This window comes from Homo sapiens, chromosome 2 (genome assembly GCF_000001405.40).
Source record: "Homo sapiens chromosome 2, GRCh38.p14 Primary Assembly".
NCBI classification, from domain to species: Eukaryota; Metazoa; Chordata; class Mammalia; order Primates; family Hominidae; genus Homo; species Homo sapiens.
Genome location: NC_000002.12, coordinates 132,861,415 through 132,878,247, shown reverse-complemented (window position 1 = coordinate 132,878,247; position 16,833 = coordinate 132,861,415). Strand labels below are relative to the sequence as shown.

At 40.5% G+C, this 16,833-nt stretch overlaps 1 protein-coding gene across 20 annotated transcripts in view; it reads left to right on the top strand.

Annotated features, from left to right (window-relative positions):
* The window catches only part of NCKAP5 (NCK associated protein 5), a 1,003,049-nt gene that overhangs the window by 796,589 nt on the left and 189,627 nt on the right, over positions 1–16,833 (top strand). For all 20 annotated transcript variants that reach the window (XM_017003975.3, XM_011511100.4, XM_047444134.1 and 17 more), the window contains one exon: positions 9,274–9,312. In XM_017003975.3, coding sequence (XP_016859464.1) covers positions 9,274–9,312 — 39 coding nt within the window. The remainder of the gene's footprint in view (positions 1–9,273; positions 9,313–16,833) is intronic.

The window sequence follows — 16,833 nt, the reverse complement described above, 5'->3', positions numbered from 1 at the left end:
GATAATGAAGAGATGATGGCAAAGATAATGGGCATTTGAGAGTTTCTGGGAGGTGAGGAGAAAACAGACATGCGCTCAGAGCCCTCGTCCTCCCCCGCTGTCACCTCACACCATCAGGGCTCACACCAATCACCGACGCATCCTGTCTCTCCCTGCCACGATTGGCCATTCGCTCCCTGACAAGTTCTCACCTAGGACCTGTCAGTGATTGCAGTTGTTATTTAAATGAAATCACTTCTTTAGTCATCTGTCTAGCACCTTAAAACTTTATTGTGGTCTGAGTAATTCAGTTGGAGATTTGTTACAATGTACCTGATGCAGATTTTAGAAAGAAAAGAAGAACTGCATTTCGTCTGGTTCCAGTACCTTTCCAGTGGGAACTGCCAATATATCGTCAGTCTTTTTCTCCCTACTATCCATGAGGGAAATCTCTTCTAACAAACTCCTCTTCATATTTCTTACCCTCTCCATTCCCCTCTCCTCCAATGCACTGTCTCAGAAGTCAATGGGATGATCTATAAGGAACACATGCTCAGCTCCCAGCAGTAACGCCGTATATAACTCTTGTTCCCTTCAAACTGGAAGCAGTCTCTCTCTTCTGAGGTCCAGTAGTCCTTGGAGTCTCCCTGCACCAGTGGTTTTAAAAATGTGATCCCTGGACCAGCAGCGTCAGCCTCCCCTAGGGCCTCATTGGGAATGCAGATTCTCAGGACCCACGACAGACCTACAGAATCAGAGACTCTGGGGTAGGGCTCAGCGACCTATGTGTCAACAAGCCCTCCCGATGATGCTGGCGCACTTGATAGTTTGAGACACTGTCATCATCATACCACTTTGTATTGGTTACTTATATGTGGTTGAAGAACTCTCAAAATGTCCTCAGAAAATTATTTGTTTAATATTAGATATGTTAATTGTTTAATATTCCCAACCACATACACTGGTTACTCAAGCAAAATGGTATTTGCAATTCTCTGCCCTGTCAGGACCTTAAAAGACCAGAATAATCTTGACAATGTCCAAAGTTAAACACTAAAGTTAGTTGACTCTGACATGGCTCAGAGTCTAGTGAGGCCAGTTCAGCAGCCCTCACTGCTCCCTGGGCTCGTGGTCCAGTCAAAGTTTAGGGCAAGAAAGACCAAACAGATCCAAGGATATTTAAAGGAACATACCATGCCTTTGGGTCATATGTATTGATTAGCAAAGTTTCACTTTAACCTCCTGCACAGAAATTTCTGCTGAGATTTTATCTGTATTTAGAAGTCAGATTTATGTGACTCACACCACAGAAACTGTCCCAGTTCTCCCGTAGGTCAACCCTCCCTGTCAATCAAAACACTCACATTTCTTTATGGAAACTCATAGTCTGTATTTTGTGTGTTTCCCATGCCTGCACTCCGTACGTTTCATCAGAATGTGTGGGACAAAAATATAAGTTATCCACAAAATCATTTCATATAAAGTTTCCACTGAAGACAGACTTTTTAGAGGGCGTGTTCCTCTGTTCTTAGTTGCAAAAATTAACTGTTGCCAAAGAGGTGATTTGTGACAAAGAACTGCCTCTAAGCAATACACATATTTTGTATTCATGAATACTGACCCCTGATTACACATGCAGGTTGTTTTATAACTAATTACATGAGGGTAGATAATCCATTTCCACACATTGTAAGAGAACACTCTCAATGGGGTAGTTGAATGTAGTAATAATGCCAACTGGAAATTCTTTTCAAGGTTTTTTATGCTAATTAAACAAACTAACAAGGTAAGGCCTTATGTAAGTTTTTTCCTTGCTAGTGGGTGTCATCAAACATACACAGGTGGATAAATGTAAATTTAAAATGTTTTTCAGACAGGCACAGTGGCTTATATCTATAATCCTACCACTTTGGGAGGCTGAGGCAGGAGGATTACTTGAGCCCAGAAGTTTAAGACCGGTCTGGGCAACACAGGGAGACTCTGTCTCTACAAAATAAAAAAAATAAAATCATAAAACCTAGGCGAATGTAGTGGCAGGTACCTGTAGACACAGCTATTTGGGAGGCTGAGGTAGTAGGATCTCTTGGGCCCAGGAGGTCGAGGCTGCAGTGAGCCATAATCCTGCCACTGCATTCCAGCCTGGGTGAAAGAGTGAAACCTCATCTCAAATAAATAAACAAAATGTTCTTCAATCCTTCTTGCACTGATGGTTATTTTCTGGGAAATGAGGAACATATTGAGGATTTGGGGAAAACACTTGAGAATCTGTGTTCCAATAGAAGAGCACATTTATTCAGAAGGTAACAGACTCACATTCCTAGATACACACACACACATACACCCTGGCTTGCTAGGCATGCACATCCACAAGTGCACACACCTACAAATGCATGCGCACACACCTGTATACAAACAGGTGTGCCTGCATACACTTCATCCTCACCGCTACTGCTCCCTATCTCATCTCTCAGCCTTGCAGTACAAAGGAAAAAACAAGGATTAATCTTAGAGTTTGGAGGTTTGCATGTTAGAATCAGGTTTCTTAGTCTAGCTGTTTGACAGACACTTAGTGGTGAGCAATGACTTGCTATTTATTCACAGTATTGCCTTGGCCACAGTTTCTTTCATACCTACTATTCCCATGTAAAGAAGTAAAATAAGTAAAATAACATCCAAAACCACTGCATGGCACTTCAATGGATTCCGTTGTATCCTGCAAACCTTTACTGGATGTCAGCCTCACCCAGGCCCTGAGTTCACGGCACTCCCAGCCTGGCAGGAGAAGTGCAAGGGATGGACAGTCATAGAGTAGGGAGGTGAGAGAAAGTCACAGAGCAAATGAGCTGCACTGAGGACTTTGGAAACACAGAATGCAGTCACCAGAGGGCAGGAGGAGCAGCGGGTAGGTGAGCAGAGGAGGGGGCAGAATTGGAAAGGGTATCTTCAGCAGAAGAAGCTGCAGCAGGTGAGGTCTCAGATCCAGAACAGCAAGTGCTTCTCCTCTGTACCTGCTTGGTGGACTTACCTGGGGACCTTTAAAAATACTGCTGGCTGTGTCACACCTCAGAGATTCCCATCTGACTCTGCTCTTGGGTGGAGCCTGGGCTTTCTGTTTTTTTAAAGCACCACAGGAGATTATAATATTCACCTGGGGTTAAGAACACCACAATTAGATTATCTGAATGCTGTGCTGTAGAGAGCATTTTCAGAAATTTTCAGTAGAAGGATGAAAGCTCCCTCCACCAAGTTTAGATACAGTAACAGAAGAGCACAGACCCATGTGGAAGTTTTAAAGTACTTCTGATTCCACAACAATGTCTGAGATAATATAAAGCTACAGGCAATAAAATAAAATAAAATAAAATAAAATAAACCATATCCCAGTGTTTCTCAAGGTGTGTTTCTGGGAGCCCTTTGCATCAGAAAGATGTGTGGTGGTTGCTAAAATTGCATATCCGTAGACCTCATTCAGACCTTCCCAATCAGTATGCAGGGACAGGAAATTGGCAATTTTCACAAACATTCCAGGAGGAGCTTCTGCACGAAAAGTTGGAGAAACTGCTTCTTCCTCTCCAATCAGAGCTGGGCCCTTACAGTCAGTGACGACGGTGGAGTTGAGTTATTTTCCAACCTCTACACTTCAGAGCGCAAGGACATTGAAAACTAGGCCTTTGGATGTAGTTCAGAAATAGACAAAAATAGAATTTTAAGTAAGGGTGGAAGTAGGTTGCTGAGACTATTTCTCACCTGTCTCTCTGATCCACATGCTACATGCCTAGCCTAGATTGTAGAATCATTCCCAGGACACTCTCAGGCATATCCTACAGCTGGGCCCTACGTCATCTTTAAAATCAAGGTTTTGGCCGGGCATGGTGGCTCACACCTGTAATCCCAACACTTTGGGAGGCCAAGGCGGGTGGATCACAAGGTCAGGAGTGCGAGACCAGCCTAGCCAACATAGTGAAACCTCGTCTCTACTAAAAATACAGAAAATTAACCAGGCATGGTGGTGGGAGCCTGTAGGCCTAGCTACTTGGGAGGCTGAAGCAGGAGAATCACTTGAACTCGGGAGGTGAAGGTCGCAGTGAGCTGAGATTGCGCCACTGCACTCCAGCCTGGGTGACAGAGCGAGACTCCATCTCAAAAAAAAAAAAAAAAAAAAAAATCAAGGTCTTGAAAGAAATGGAAGACGATCGTACTTGTCACTTTCATATGTTCAAAATACTCATTTCTTGGAAATTACAGATGATCTACTCCTTGTTTGCTCCAGATTCTATCGCCCTGGAGGCAGTCCCTGTATTTGTTTCCTCATTATTTTTGCAGGACCCAGCAGATTCCCGGCCCACACTAGGTGCCTAATGCATATTTGTTGAATGACTAAATGAATGAATGGACAGTATCAGCAGGAAATTAATTTCCAAATTAGTGTTTCCCCAAATCCCACATATATATTTACACTAATTTCTTCAGTTATCTCTTCAGAGATGAGCACTCATTTATTATGCACTAACCCAAGTAATAATCCAAAGATTAATCAGCTGAAAAAAATAGTGGACCCACTTCAAATAGTCTGATTTGAATTAGAAGAGAACTTCATGGGCTTTGGATTAGGCAGACTAGGGTTCACTGTTCACCCTTTTCCAATGTTGTATGGGGCTGTGTATTTACCTCTTCGAGTTTCTTTCTTGTTTCTATCTTACAGGATTGTTTCACAAAGTAAATGAATAATACAGATGCTTAGTGACTTACATTTATACATGTATATTATGTGGACACACACACAAACACACGCACACATATACATACCCCTCACGCCTTTCCAAGTAGAATCCCTTATTCTTAAAAAACATTTTTTCGGCTGGGCGCAGTGGCTCACGCCTGTAATCCCAGCTCTTTGGGAGGCCGAGGCGGGCGGATCATGAGGTCAGGAGATCGAGACCATCCTGGCTGATATGGTGAAACCCCATCTCCACTAAAAATACAAAAAAATAAATAAAATGAGCTGGGCATGGTGGTGGGCGCCTGTAGTCCCAGCTACTCCAGAGGCTGAGGCAGGAGAATGGCGTGAACCCGGGAGGCAGAGCTTGCAGTGAGCCGAGATCGTGCTACTGCACTCCAGCCTGGGTGACAAAGTGAGACTCTGTCTCAAAATAATAAAATAAAATAAAATAATTTTTTCTTAACTGCTTACCTGAACATGCATTATATTTTCCGAAGTTCAACTGGCCTGATTCACATTTAGGGGTGACGGCTTTATATCAAGTCCTGTCCTAGGTGGTTTCGCTGATTATGTCTATCATCTCATGCCTTTTTCACAACTTTAGAGGTAGGCAGCTCCCCTATTTTATGGCTGAGAAAAGTCAGATTTCTCTCCCATCCCCTGCGCATGTCAGTGTATGAGGTTAACATAGGCACTGTTTTAACCCAAGTCCATATTCTCCATGCTTTCTCCTAGCTGCCTCAGTACAATCAACCAAGATCAGAAGCATAGAACACCTCTCCAAAGCACATTTTCAAAAACACATACTTTTTCTGATGAGATTTTTCAGTTACTTTGTTGACATGACAGTGGCTTTTCATGGTGAAATAGCTCATGAAGATATGAAAGCAAGCCCACTAGCCAGGAGAGGACTGTCAAAGCATAGAGCATGGAGATCCTCGCTCCCCACGCCCGTAAACCTGAAGCTTCTCCACCCTCCACCCCAGCCCTTGGCTGAGAATTGGCTCCCTCTCTGAATAAACTGCTTAGTGTGGCTTCTTATTCAGCTTCAAGGACTGTTTTTCAATAAAATAATAGAGAACTCCATAGCCCCAGCTTTTCCTCCCTCTGCTCGCCCACTTCCAAGAGAGTGCATGGAGGAATCACGAGCCCTGGAAGTTTTTCAGGGAAGAAGAGCAAAGTTTTGTGTGAGTAGAAGATCAGCCATGTGTTAGAGGAGCTAGATTGTCTGAGAAAATTCTTACTGAGAAGGAAACACGAGATGTACTCAGGCGCTCTCCTTGGCATTCCTGTCTCACCTGCAGCCCTGCTCCATCTCCTAGGAGCAAAGGGGAGAGGCCTCCATGGACAGCCTAAGGAAGGCTGTACTACAAGCTAGTGGCTTAAGGACTGCCAGCTTTGTTTTTCCAGTGTGCTTCAAGTCCCTTGCAGCCTAGCACAGCTGCTGCCCTTTCTCTGGAGAGGAAAGCTGGCAGATGACATTGGAAGTGATTTGTTCTCACTAGCTGGGCCTATGGGTGTGTGATTATTTGCAACCCAAATGTTTAGGGCATAATGTTAGCTTGAGGGCAGGGACGCATTCCAGGCATTATCTTTTGAGCCTAGTAGAGGTTGCAGGCACAAACTCCAAACAGCTGTCCTATTTATGCATCAGGGAAGTTAGCTGTTAAAAGCGATAACAAAACCTCGGACACTGTCGTTATAGACAGTATGGAGGAAAGCATGTCTATAATCTGCCTGATATTTTTCAAAGAAGCGCAGTGAGTCCTTCTAGGTAATATAACCTCATGTCAGTAGGTAAAGAAATAAGGCATTCGTGTATCTTTGTTCAGCTTTCAAGAGGAGCAAATAATTTTCCAAAGTACATGCCAGAAGGAACTGTGTTAGATATAGAGTCTCTAAGCCTATAGGGCAACTGCTTGGATTGTGAGATATAACATATTTCCTCCTGTGGGCTGTTAGAGTTAGGATATTAGTCCGTGTCTCCTGATAAATCATGGATAGAGCTATTTTATGTGACCACCGTTACCAGAATGGTTTCAGTGAGAGACCAATTGGGAGAAAGAAAAGAAAATATTGATATTGGGCAGTTTTATGAGAATGTAAATCAAATCCAAAGTTTGAGATCCAAAAGAAGTAAATTATTTATGGCATGAATTAACTTTGGTACCTTGTTCCTGATTCAACCTGCATGAATAGTTCGATTCTTCTGTTTTGTTTTGTTTTGTTTTGTTTATTTGCCAACAATAAAATAGATGATATGTAGTTTGACTTTGAATTCTCAGTTACTTATGAATTGGAATGAATGCTGGAAAACTGACTTTCACTATTATGCTATTGGTCAATTTGTGTGGGTTGGATAACATTTATCACTGTTGTGATCACATATAAATAAAGTGATAAAGGAACATATGGCCTCAGTTAATGAAAGTATAGTTTATTTTGGTCTGTGGTAGTTCTGTAACTTGTGCTTCACTCAAAAACAATACCTAAGAAAACATTTTATTTAAAATCATAGTTTCAATGAAGAGCCTTTCTTTTTTACTTAATGTCTGCAATGTAACTTTGAAAAGACTTCTGATGGGAAAAAAATCCTTCTTGTGCATATAATTTAACTAATCAATTACAGATAATCTGATTTTAGTCTTTTACTGCTTGTGGTGTGATTGCCTTCTAATCAAAAGTTGATGACAGCCTGTGTTTTAATTTTCTATGAGACTTACTGGTAGCCAGCTGTTGTGAAGGATGTACTATTTGCCAGTATTGAGTCAAAAAACAATTAAGCTCCATGGAAACATTCTTACTATAATCTGTTCGACTATACTAGATAGAGAAAGAAGCACAAATAGTTGGGCACCACCAAAAACAAATATGTTACCAAGAGAAAAATAACACAAAAGTGTCCCTCAGTCTCCCGTTGACTGTAAGAATTACCATGATGATTAGATGTTTGTCACACTGTGTTATAATTGTGTTTTTGCCAACTCACTGCCAGGTATGAGTCTTTGAAGTCAAGGACCATGGCCCAATCATCTAGCTTTGCAAGTAGATACTCAGAAAATTTATATTGGATAAATGAAGGAAGAAATGAATGAACCAGAGTGCCTTATATCTAGGATATTTAAGTATTCTGATTTAGTCTTTCATGCTGTCAATTTCAGTTATCACATTAAATGTTTACAGTGTATGTATTAGCTGAAAAATACCACCTAGTTCACCTGTCCACCTTAATTTTATCAACAGTAGCCATGTAGCTACATAGCTTCAAGGTAATAGTGAAGTTTAGTAGGTGACTCTATGCAAAGTATTTTGAAATATGCAGATGAAAAAGAAATCTTAACACAAATACATACAGTAATAACGAATGGTTACCTGGAGAAAATGCCAGGTATTTGAAACACCAGGAACATGTTACTGGTTTTACATGTGGTCCTTAGCTGGAATTGTGTTATATGCCCACTCCTAAACCAATCACTGGAATTGCCAAGATTGGCTTAGATTAATCAAGATTCACTGCCTTGGGCTGAGGAGGGATTTAGGTTCTTCTGCTGTCTCAAGCTGCCTGATACTTGAAGAAAATGAGATCCCTGAAAAAATTACTAAGAATTATATTTTGTTGTTCGCTGGAAGAAACTCAAAATAACAGTGACTACCTTATTTCCACCACATAGATATTCAATAGACAGTACAGCTCCATAACATCATCAGGACCAAGCTTTTCTCTGTCCAAATATCCTTAATATGTGACTGTTGTTGTCAGGGTAGCTGCTGAAGCTCCAGCCATTACTGTACTTCCATTTCTAGTCAGGAAGACGAAGGGTGAGCCCCCTTCTTCTTTGAGACTTCCTGTAAGCCCAAGAGAATAGTCTGCTTATGTCTTATTGGCCAGAATTTTGTCACATGGCAACATTTTGCTACAAGAATGGCTGGGAAATGCAGTTGAATGTGCCCAGCCCCAAAAGATTGGGTTTGTTACTCAGGAAGAAGGGAAAAAATGGATGTTGTAGTAAACAACTACCAGATTATATTACAGGTAGCAACAACAAGAGCGTGACTTAAGCAAAAACATTGAAGATGAAAGCAGGACACATAGGAAACAATGAGTTGTCCCTATGCTAGACCATTCAACCTATCTCTATTGCAAGTAATATTAAGCAGTGAAATAGACAGCAAAGGAATAGGAAGGACAGGCAAAGGATATTGTAAATCAGCAAAGTGTAGAAACTGTGGACAGATAATTAGGACTGTGTTTTGCACTATATCATTTTTTAGCCTTCTTGGAGTATATGAAAGGATATCATTTTTCCAAATATGGAAATGTGAAAGTCAAGGTATGAATGATCTTTTAAGTGTAACCATCTTAATTAGCAACAAGGTCACCTTTGGAGAAAGCAAAATATTACCTAGAAGGATAGACTTATTATGAAAATAATCAGATCTCTGCATATAGAGGAAAGAGGCAAATGAGGAGCTAATTAGCTACAATAAGCTGCGAGAAACTTATTGGTAAATTAGAGTCGGTGCATATAAAGTCTCATTATTATAAATGACAACTTTTTCTTTATTTTTTAAAGGTAGCCAACCAAGTTGTTCAAGCTCTGCTTACTCAAAAGGTAGGTCACTTTCTGACTTTGTTCTTTTCAAGGCACTTTTGTGACTATATTGGAGCTCATGTTGTTAAGCTAGGAAATTGTGATTGATAGATGCAATACTTCTGTATTTATTCACTTAGTGAAAATCGTTTGTGTTTTACATGGCATATGAAGTAACATCAGTGACCAATAGAATTTGTAATAAAAAATCCAAACTTTCGGTAAAATAATAGAAAGCCTTTTGAAGGTGATTTTCATTTACCCAGATGAGTAGCAAACCCACCATTTTTATTTAGTAAATACAAACTTGCAATAAGTTGGTGAATTCTCCCAATTCCTATAAAACGAGTATCTTCTTTTGGACAGCATTAACAAAAGTCTAAAATTCAGCAAGAGTTAGGGAAGTCATTTAATTTCCCTGAGCCCTAGTTCCTCTTCTGTAATGTGGGAATAACAATTCCCGCTTCCTGGGATTGCTGTGGTGACCCTACAAAAGGAAGCATGTAGAACAGTTACTGCAATAGTTTGTGGTACATATAAAATAATGGTAACCACTGTGCCTGAAATTTCCATACCTATGAGTTTGCTGCCTTGCCATTCTGCCTGCAGACAACATCAGATCACATTATTGGGGCAGACAGTAAATGCAGGTCAATTTTGCCCAAATTTGGCTATTTCAGTGAATTTTATGGAATGTTTACCATCTCCGGCCATGAAGTTTCTGAGAAGCTAAATTTTAGTTCCCTCAGATTTTGTTTACTTTGATTTCTATCTGTGAAATAGAGACTTCTCCAAAAGAAACTTTTAGATCCTGCAGCATATTCAGGATGATGTGATAAATGGCAGCAAAATAATTTATGCCATTTTGATTTTTTTAATTGAAAATAATTTTATTAGGGGTTGACTGCTGCTCATGGAGATACTTAAATATTCTTTAAAATTTCTATGATACAGGCATTGTGATACTTTTGCTAGACTTTCTTGCCTACTATTTCTGTCAAAATGTCACAGTTCCTTCTACAAATAATTTTAACTGCTTCCAGTTTTATACTAACATGCATAAATAGATTTGAGTACACTTACGTAGAGTTAGAATTAGGTTCCATTGTGAGCAACAGAGATCCATAATGAGGTGGGTTAAATAAGCTAAAATGTTAGTTCTTTCTCACATATAAACCGACAGGTAGGCCGAACAGGAATGGTAACTTTGCTCCATAAAGTCCTTGGGGTCCCTAGCTTCCATCTCTGTATTTCATGGAATGTGGCCCCATTTTCAAGGTCACTTCATGGTCCAAAAGGACTATGCTAGCTCCAGTCATCACATCCACACATTCCAGCCATCAGGAAGGGAATAAAAGCTGAGGAATATGAAGATGATAAAGGGCATACAGCAGCTGTCTTTTAAAGGACACTTCCAAAAGCTTTCATACATTACTACATACATCTCTGTGAACAGACCTTACTCACACAGCCACACCAAACAAACCCGGCAAAGAGGTCTTTGTTCTGGGTGTGTGCCCAGCTGAAATTACTTTGGAAGAAGGTGAGAAATAGATATTGGAGGACAAATTATAATTGCTGCTTCAACATTTTTGAATTCTTTTTCTTTTTCTAAGGCTTTAATTTCTCGATTGTTTTTCTCCTGTTTGAAACTCTATGCTGACTTAGTTACAAACCTAAGGAGTGAGGGGAGTGTTATTGCAGCTCTGTGTACAACTGTTGAAAGACTTCCCATGGCTGCTTTTGTTAATGGTGCCTCAGGAAAGAGACAAGGAAGCCATTTGGTACGATAAAAAGGAAAACGGGACCCTTCAGGTCAGCTACAAAAAAAAAAATAGCTACACAAATCCAAGTAATAACTAGTAAACAGATAAATCTACCTTGGTACAATTAAGCAGTGAGACACAGAAAGACATGCTACTGTGAGATAGCATACCTCAGGGACACTATGAGGCAGAAAGAGATGCTGGGGGCTTTTGGAGATTCCAAAAGAATCATGTTCTGCAGAAATGTGTGCCTCCAGTTTTTATGGGCACTGTAAAATTGCTGCAAAAAGACTAAAATTTCTTTTTAATTAAGAGCACAATATAAAATATACAGTGTACTCCAAATGCAGATGAGAAAAATAATTCCAAAAAGGAATGTAGGTAGCAAAGACAAAACAGAAAAAAATCTTGAGCGATTTATCTAAGTCACCAGAAGATCCTTGAGGTGAAATAATAAGCATTACTGTGCAGTTTTAGAATATGCCATTAGTTATGACACAAAGGCAAATCTGCTGTGGCTTCAGCTCTTCACTGGGCAGCCAGAAATACATTTTTCATGGCATATCATGAATTGGCCCAGACAAGTATCCTGAAGTAACAGAGTCTACTGATACTGATAGAAAAAAAAAATTATTTCCATGAACTTAGCAGTTTCTGTTCAGTGTACCTCGTCAAGTAATTTAGTTTATCTCAAAAACCTGTGGATTCCCTTAGGAGAATGGACTGTACCCCTTTAGAACAACAATACAAAAGTGATCATATTAAACCCAACTTTTCTTCCTTTGATGCCTCCAAATCATGGGTCCAAGTCTACAAGTGCGAATTAAATCAGTAATTCAGGTTAAATTCATATTGTTATCTGAAATATATTTTATCTTCATTAAGTCAATTACATTTGCAGAAAATGTAACTCACCTAGGTTCTTCAGTGTTTTGGGTTTGTTTTTTGTTTGTTTGCTTGTTTGCCACTAAACAAAACACGGAAGAAAGGCATTTTCTCTGCAGTTATTTTCGTTCATATGAACAGTCTCAGGCTTATCTGCATGTTCTTTGGAGGAAACACATATTTCGATGATGTGTTTTCTTCACCGACATGGAATAAAGCTGGGTATGGTAGAATCCAGCCATTCAGGCAGAAACAGAAAACAATTTTATAGCTTGTACCTGAGAAAACTCCAAATTCCTATTTCCCCTGTAAAGGGGCAATTGAACCATCCGTGTCCACTTCTCTAGCAGTGGTCTGTGTGGTATCAGGTGGCTGTTTATATTTAGCAGGCATTTACAAGCCTTCAGACCCCACATGCAGCACTTTAAATCCACAAAGTCGTTTTGTTCTCAAGGCAGCCCCGTGAGGTAGGACTAAAAAAAAAGTTTGCTCATAGTTTCAACTGCCAGGCAGTGGCAGAGCCCTTGCTTTAATTATGGCTGTTGCACTGTAAACCCCACGCTCTGACCCACTCCCTCATTCTTCCTCCACAATCCCATTCTGTCACTTGTTTTTCTCCCCCATAGTTCAGTAGGACAGAGAGAGATACCATGAAAATCAAAAGAAGGATTGAAATCCAACGGCTGGTTATGATCACAGGGAATAAAATAAAAGGCAGGGTAGCCACAGGACTTCCTAAAACTTCTGGAAGTATTGCTTATCTTCTGTAGCAGGAAGAGCATTTAGAGTTTGATAGCTGTGGAGTAAAACTGACTCTATATATTTGGGGTCAAGCTTTCTCAAAATCAATCTTATTTTTAACTCCCAAATTCCCCAATTTCCAGGAGCCTTGGTGAGTATTTAATCCTGAGATTGTCAACTAGCTTTGGTAATGGGCTCAAGTGACTGTAGTTACGTGAACTGTTTAGCCATTGCCCTCATTATAAGTGGTTTAATCCGAAGGCTTTTAGGGTGGAGACTTGCAGTATGTATTTTGCCACAGGACTCACTACTTCCTGTGCAGTATCCTGGTTCAGTCAGACTTTTATGTCACCTGTCTTGCCTTTTAGTATTCGATGTTGAAGCCCTGGATCAGTCTGAGATGTGACCAGCCTTTTCCAGAAGTGGCTTTTCATGTTACAAAAGTCTTAGCATTTGGGGCAGAGATAAGGATGTATCAGTGAAAGCCACCAAGAAAGGGTATGACAAAAGAGGCTGGTGGTTTTGGTGGCCATTAGGCTTCAGGGAGGGAACAAAGCAGCACTCGAAAAGACATCCCATGAAGCTAGTGAGAGATACAGTGTTTTGAACAGAAGCCCAATTTTGTGCAGTGCCTTGGTTTACAGATGAGGAAACTGAGACCTAATCAGAAGCAATCACTTCAAGGCCCTGTGGACAATGAAGACTAGAGCCCAGGCCCTCTAAGCCCCAATTCCATGTATTCCCATGATAGACACTGCCTCTGAAATAGGTATACCACTATCATGTCATTTTTACTTGGTAAAATCAGATTTAAATAGTTTTCAATGACACACCAGCGATCATGTTAGTGTATGTCCTGCTTCTAAGCAATCAGCATTTTAAAAAATGTACTTCAGCCTAGAGCTGATAACAATTTTACTCTTCAATACATAAAGTAACTGTACTCCTATAGGTACTATATAGCAGTGAGTCTAGAATCATCTTTAGCCCAAGCACAGGGGGAATTTATCAGGATTACAGTGTGTGGATCCTCCAGAGAAATTATGGTTTGGGATCATTAAGATGCACAGGAGCCCATTAGACCAGTGTATCACATTGCTCAGCTGTAATCTCTTAAGTCTCTGTTTCCAATTGATAGTAACATGAAGAGTGCAAGGAAAACAGGTCTGAGTATTTTCTTGAACCCAAACACCACTGTACCTTTTTTTTTTTCATGATATTAAATGTAGTCAAATCTTTGGCATTATTCCTCCATGATAAATATTTATGTTATGTCCCCATTTTCTTATCTGAAGACACAATCTTATATTTTCAGTGAGGTTCTTTCTTGAGGTCTGATACATGCCAGGAAGTCATAGAAGAAAAAGAAGGATTATGAGAGAGGATACATAGTACAGCCTCTCCCTTGAGCCATGATCCCAGACTATGGCACCTATCCAGAGGAGAGTTCTTTTGTTTCTAAAGCCTTCCTTGGGGAGGCTGTTCTGGGTCTTGCCTCTGAACTGGCAGGGTCAGAGTAGCTGCTCTTGCATCCAGCCTAAATGTATCATGCAGTCATGCATTCCTTTATGTCAAAGTGTTCCTGTTGGGAGCATAGAGGAAGCTAAGACAGCCATCTGCCCCCTCCATCCAGGTACTACAATAGTGGTTAGCAAAACAGTTGTTTATATATATCCATTCTGATTGTGTTTATGAGTGTGTACATGGGCACATGGGTGTTTTTGTTTACAGTTTCTTGGGAAGGCAACTCTCTGGCATCAGTTACTGGTGATCCACAGCTTGTCTGAAGAAAATAAGAATATTAAAAACAACGCAAGCGATTCTTTCCTATCTACAGATTTTCAGAGCAGCTCATTTCTGTTTGTCAATGGCCATCAGATCAGTGTCACAACCCTAAAGCCTCTGTCTTCCCTGCTGCTGTGTGCTGAGCTGGATGTGCCAATAGTGATGAACAGAGAGTTCTCAGGGTCGATAAATTGTGTTCCCACTAATGAACTTTTACCATACCTTAAGTAATACTAATGGCCTTTGAAATTTGGGCACTTGTGTAAAGACTCTCTATAAAGTATATTGATTTTTTTCTTTCATTCTTTCTTTTTCTTTTTTTTTTTTTTTTACCCATCTGAAGAACTCTTTCAAGGTATTCTCAGTTTTGCTGCTAAAAATCGTGGTTACTATTGCTTTCAGGTCCCCTTTTACTTGCATATCCACACTGTATGCTTCCGTTTCCATATCTCTATGTTGCAAATGAGGATGATTGTGTTTTCCCATCCAATAGGTACTATTAATATTTATCTGCCTCACAGTCAAGTCTTATTAACTACTTAATTAGCAGTACTAAAAACAATTAGTGTTTGGGAGCAGAGAGTGTTATATACATGCTAAGAACAAAAATCAGCATGAGACACAGACAGAGGTTGAATTCTAAATAAAGAAAGCAAGTTTTGCCGGGCATGGTGGTTCATGCCTGTAATCCCAGCACTTTGGGAGGCCAAGGTGGGTGGATCACGAGATCAGGAGTTCGAGACCAGCCTGGCCAATATGGTGAAACCCTGTCTCTACTAAAAATACAAAAATTAGCCAGGCGTGGTGGCACATGCCTGTAGTCCCAGCTACTCAGGAGGCTGAGGTAGAAGAATCGCCTGAACCCGGGAGGTGGAGGTTGCAGTGCACCAAGATCGCGCCACTGCACTCCAGCCTGGACAACAAGAGTGAAACTCTGTCTCAAAATAAAATAAAATAAAATAAATAAAAATAAAGAAAGTTTCACCTTTGTTTTTTTTTGGTTTTTTTTTTTTTGAGACTGGGTTTTTTTGAGACTTTGTTGCCCAGGCTGGAAAGCAGTGGCACGATCTCGGCTGACGGCAATCTTTGCCTCCTGGGTTCAAGTGATTCTTGTGCATCAGCCTCCCGAGTAGCTGGGACTACAGGCGTGCACACTTGCCTAATTTTTGTAGTTTTAGTAAAGATGGGGTTTTGCCATGTTGGCCAGGCTGAAGTTGCACCTTTTAATTTGAGCAGTGAGTGGGTCCTCACAATGGCCTCTGCCAAATGGCATGTGTGCTCATGAGTACAAAATGTGCACTCGTGATCCTGCCCTGCTGGATCTTGCACTCTTGCACGTCATTCTGAACATGACATTTCTTTTCTCTGCTCTCCATTTGTAGGCACCGATCAGTTGAAAACACCCTATACATAAGCTTTACCCATTTAACTAAAAAAGGCAAGGAGAGTTGAAACTGTAGTGGGCTATACCTTGGCCTGTTTCTTTGCCCCCTTTAATAGAATTAATACTACTGGATAAGATGATGCATGCTCATCAAGCCTCAGAGAAGGCTTTACTAGCGAGATCTAACTTCACCATTAGATTCATACAAGGTTATGGCAGGCCCAGGTAACTCTGTGACTCCTATTTAGGCCCTAGGCATCAGAACTGTGGCTTGGGCTCTCCCTTGCTTGCAGAGCCTTAAGCCCAATAGGTAGCTGCCCCACATCAGAATACATAAATCTTTGAAGTAGAAGTGTTGAGAAACTTAAACGCTCTTTATCACACCAATCACTAGTGAATAGAATTTGCCATCATCATCCCCTTTAGCAAAATAATTGTGAGCACTTATTAAGCTCCTACTATGTGTGGCATTGTGCTAGGTGATGGAATAAAAACAATGTAAGAGCAATATGCTGGTGTGGTTATTTCAGTATCTTCTTGAGCTTGTCTGGTGAAAAATGTGTCGTGTAATTGACAAGTCTAGAGCACAAACGATAAAATGAATACAGAGTAATATATGCTAACCGTCACAAAGGAGGCATTGAGGGCTGATGGGAGTTCAGAAAATGGAGCAGGTATTGAGGGATGCCAGGTAAAAGGTCAGAGAGGTGATAAAGTTTGAACTGTACTTCAATCAAAGAGCCAAATATGGGCTGAAAGAAGAAGGTGGATAAGAAGGAAAAGTGGCAGTGGAAGGAAAAGAGAAGAAGGTAGAAGGAATGCGTAGAGCTTTAGAGAACAACACGCCAGACCTTTGTTCTCTGCTTGGTGAGAACAGAAGACATTTTTTTTTTTATTAACATCAGGAAGTAGTGAAAGATAGTTTGAAATGCAGAAAAGGGTCAGCTTTTGAAGAACCTTGAATTTGGGTTTTATTCTACT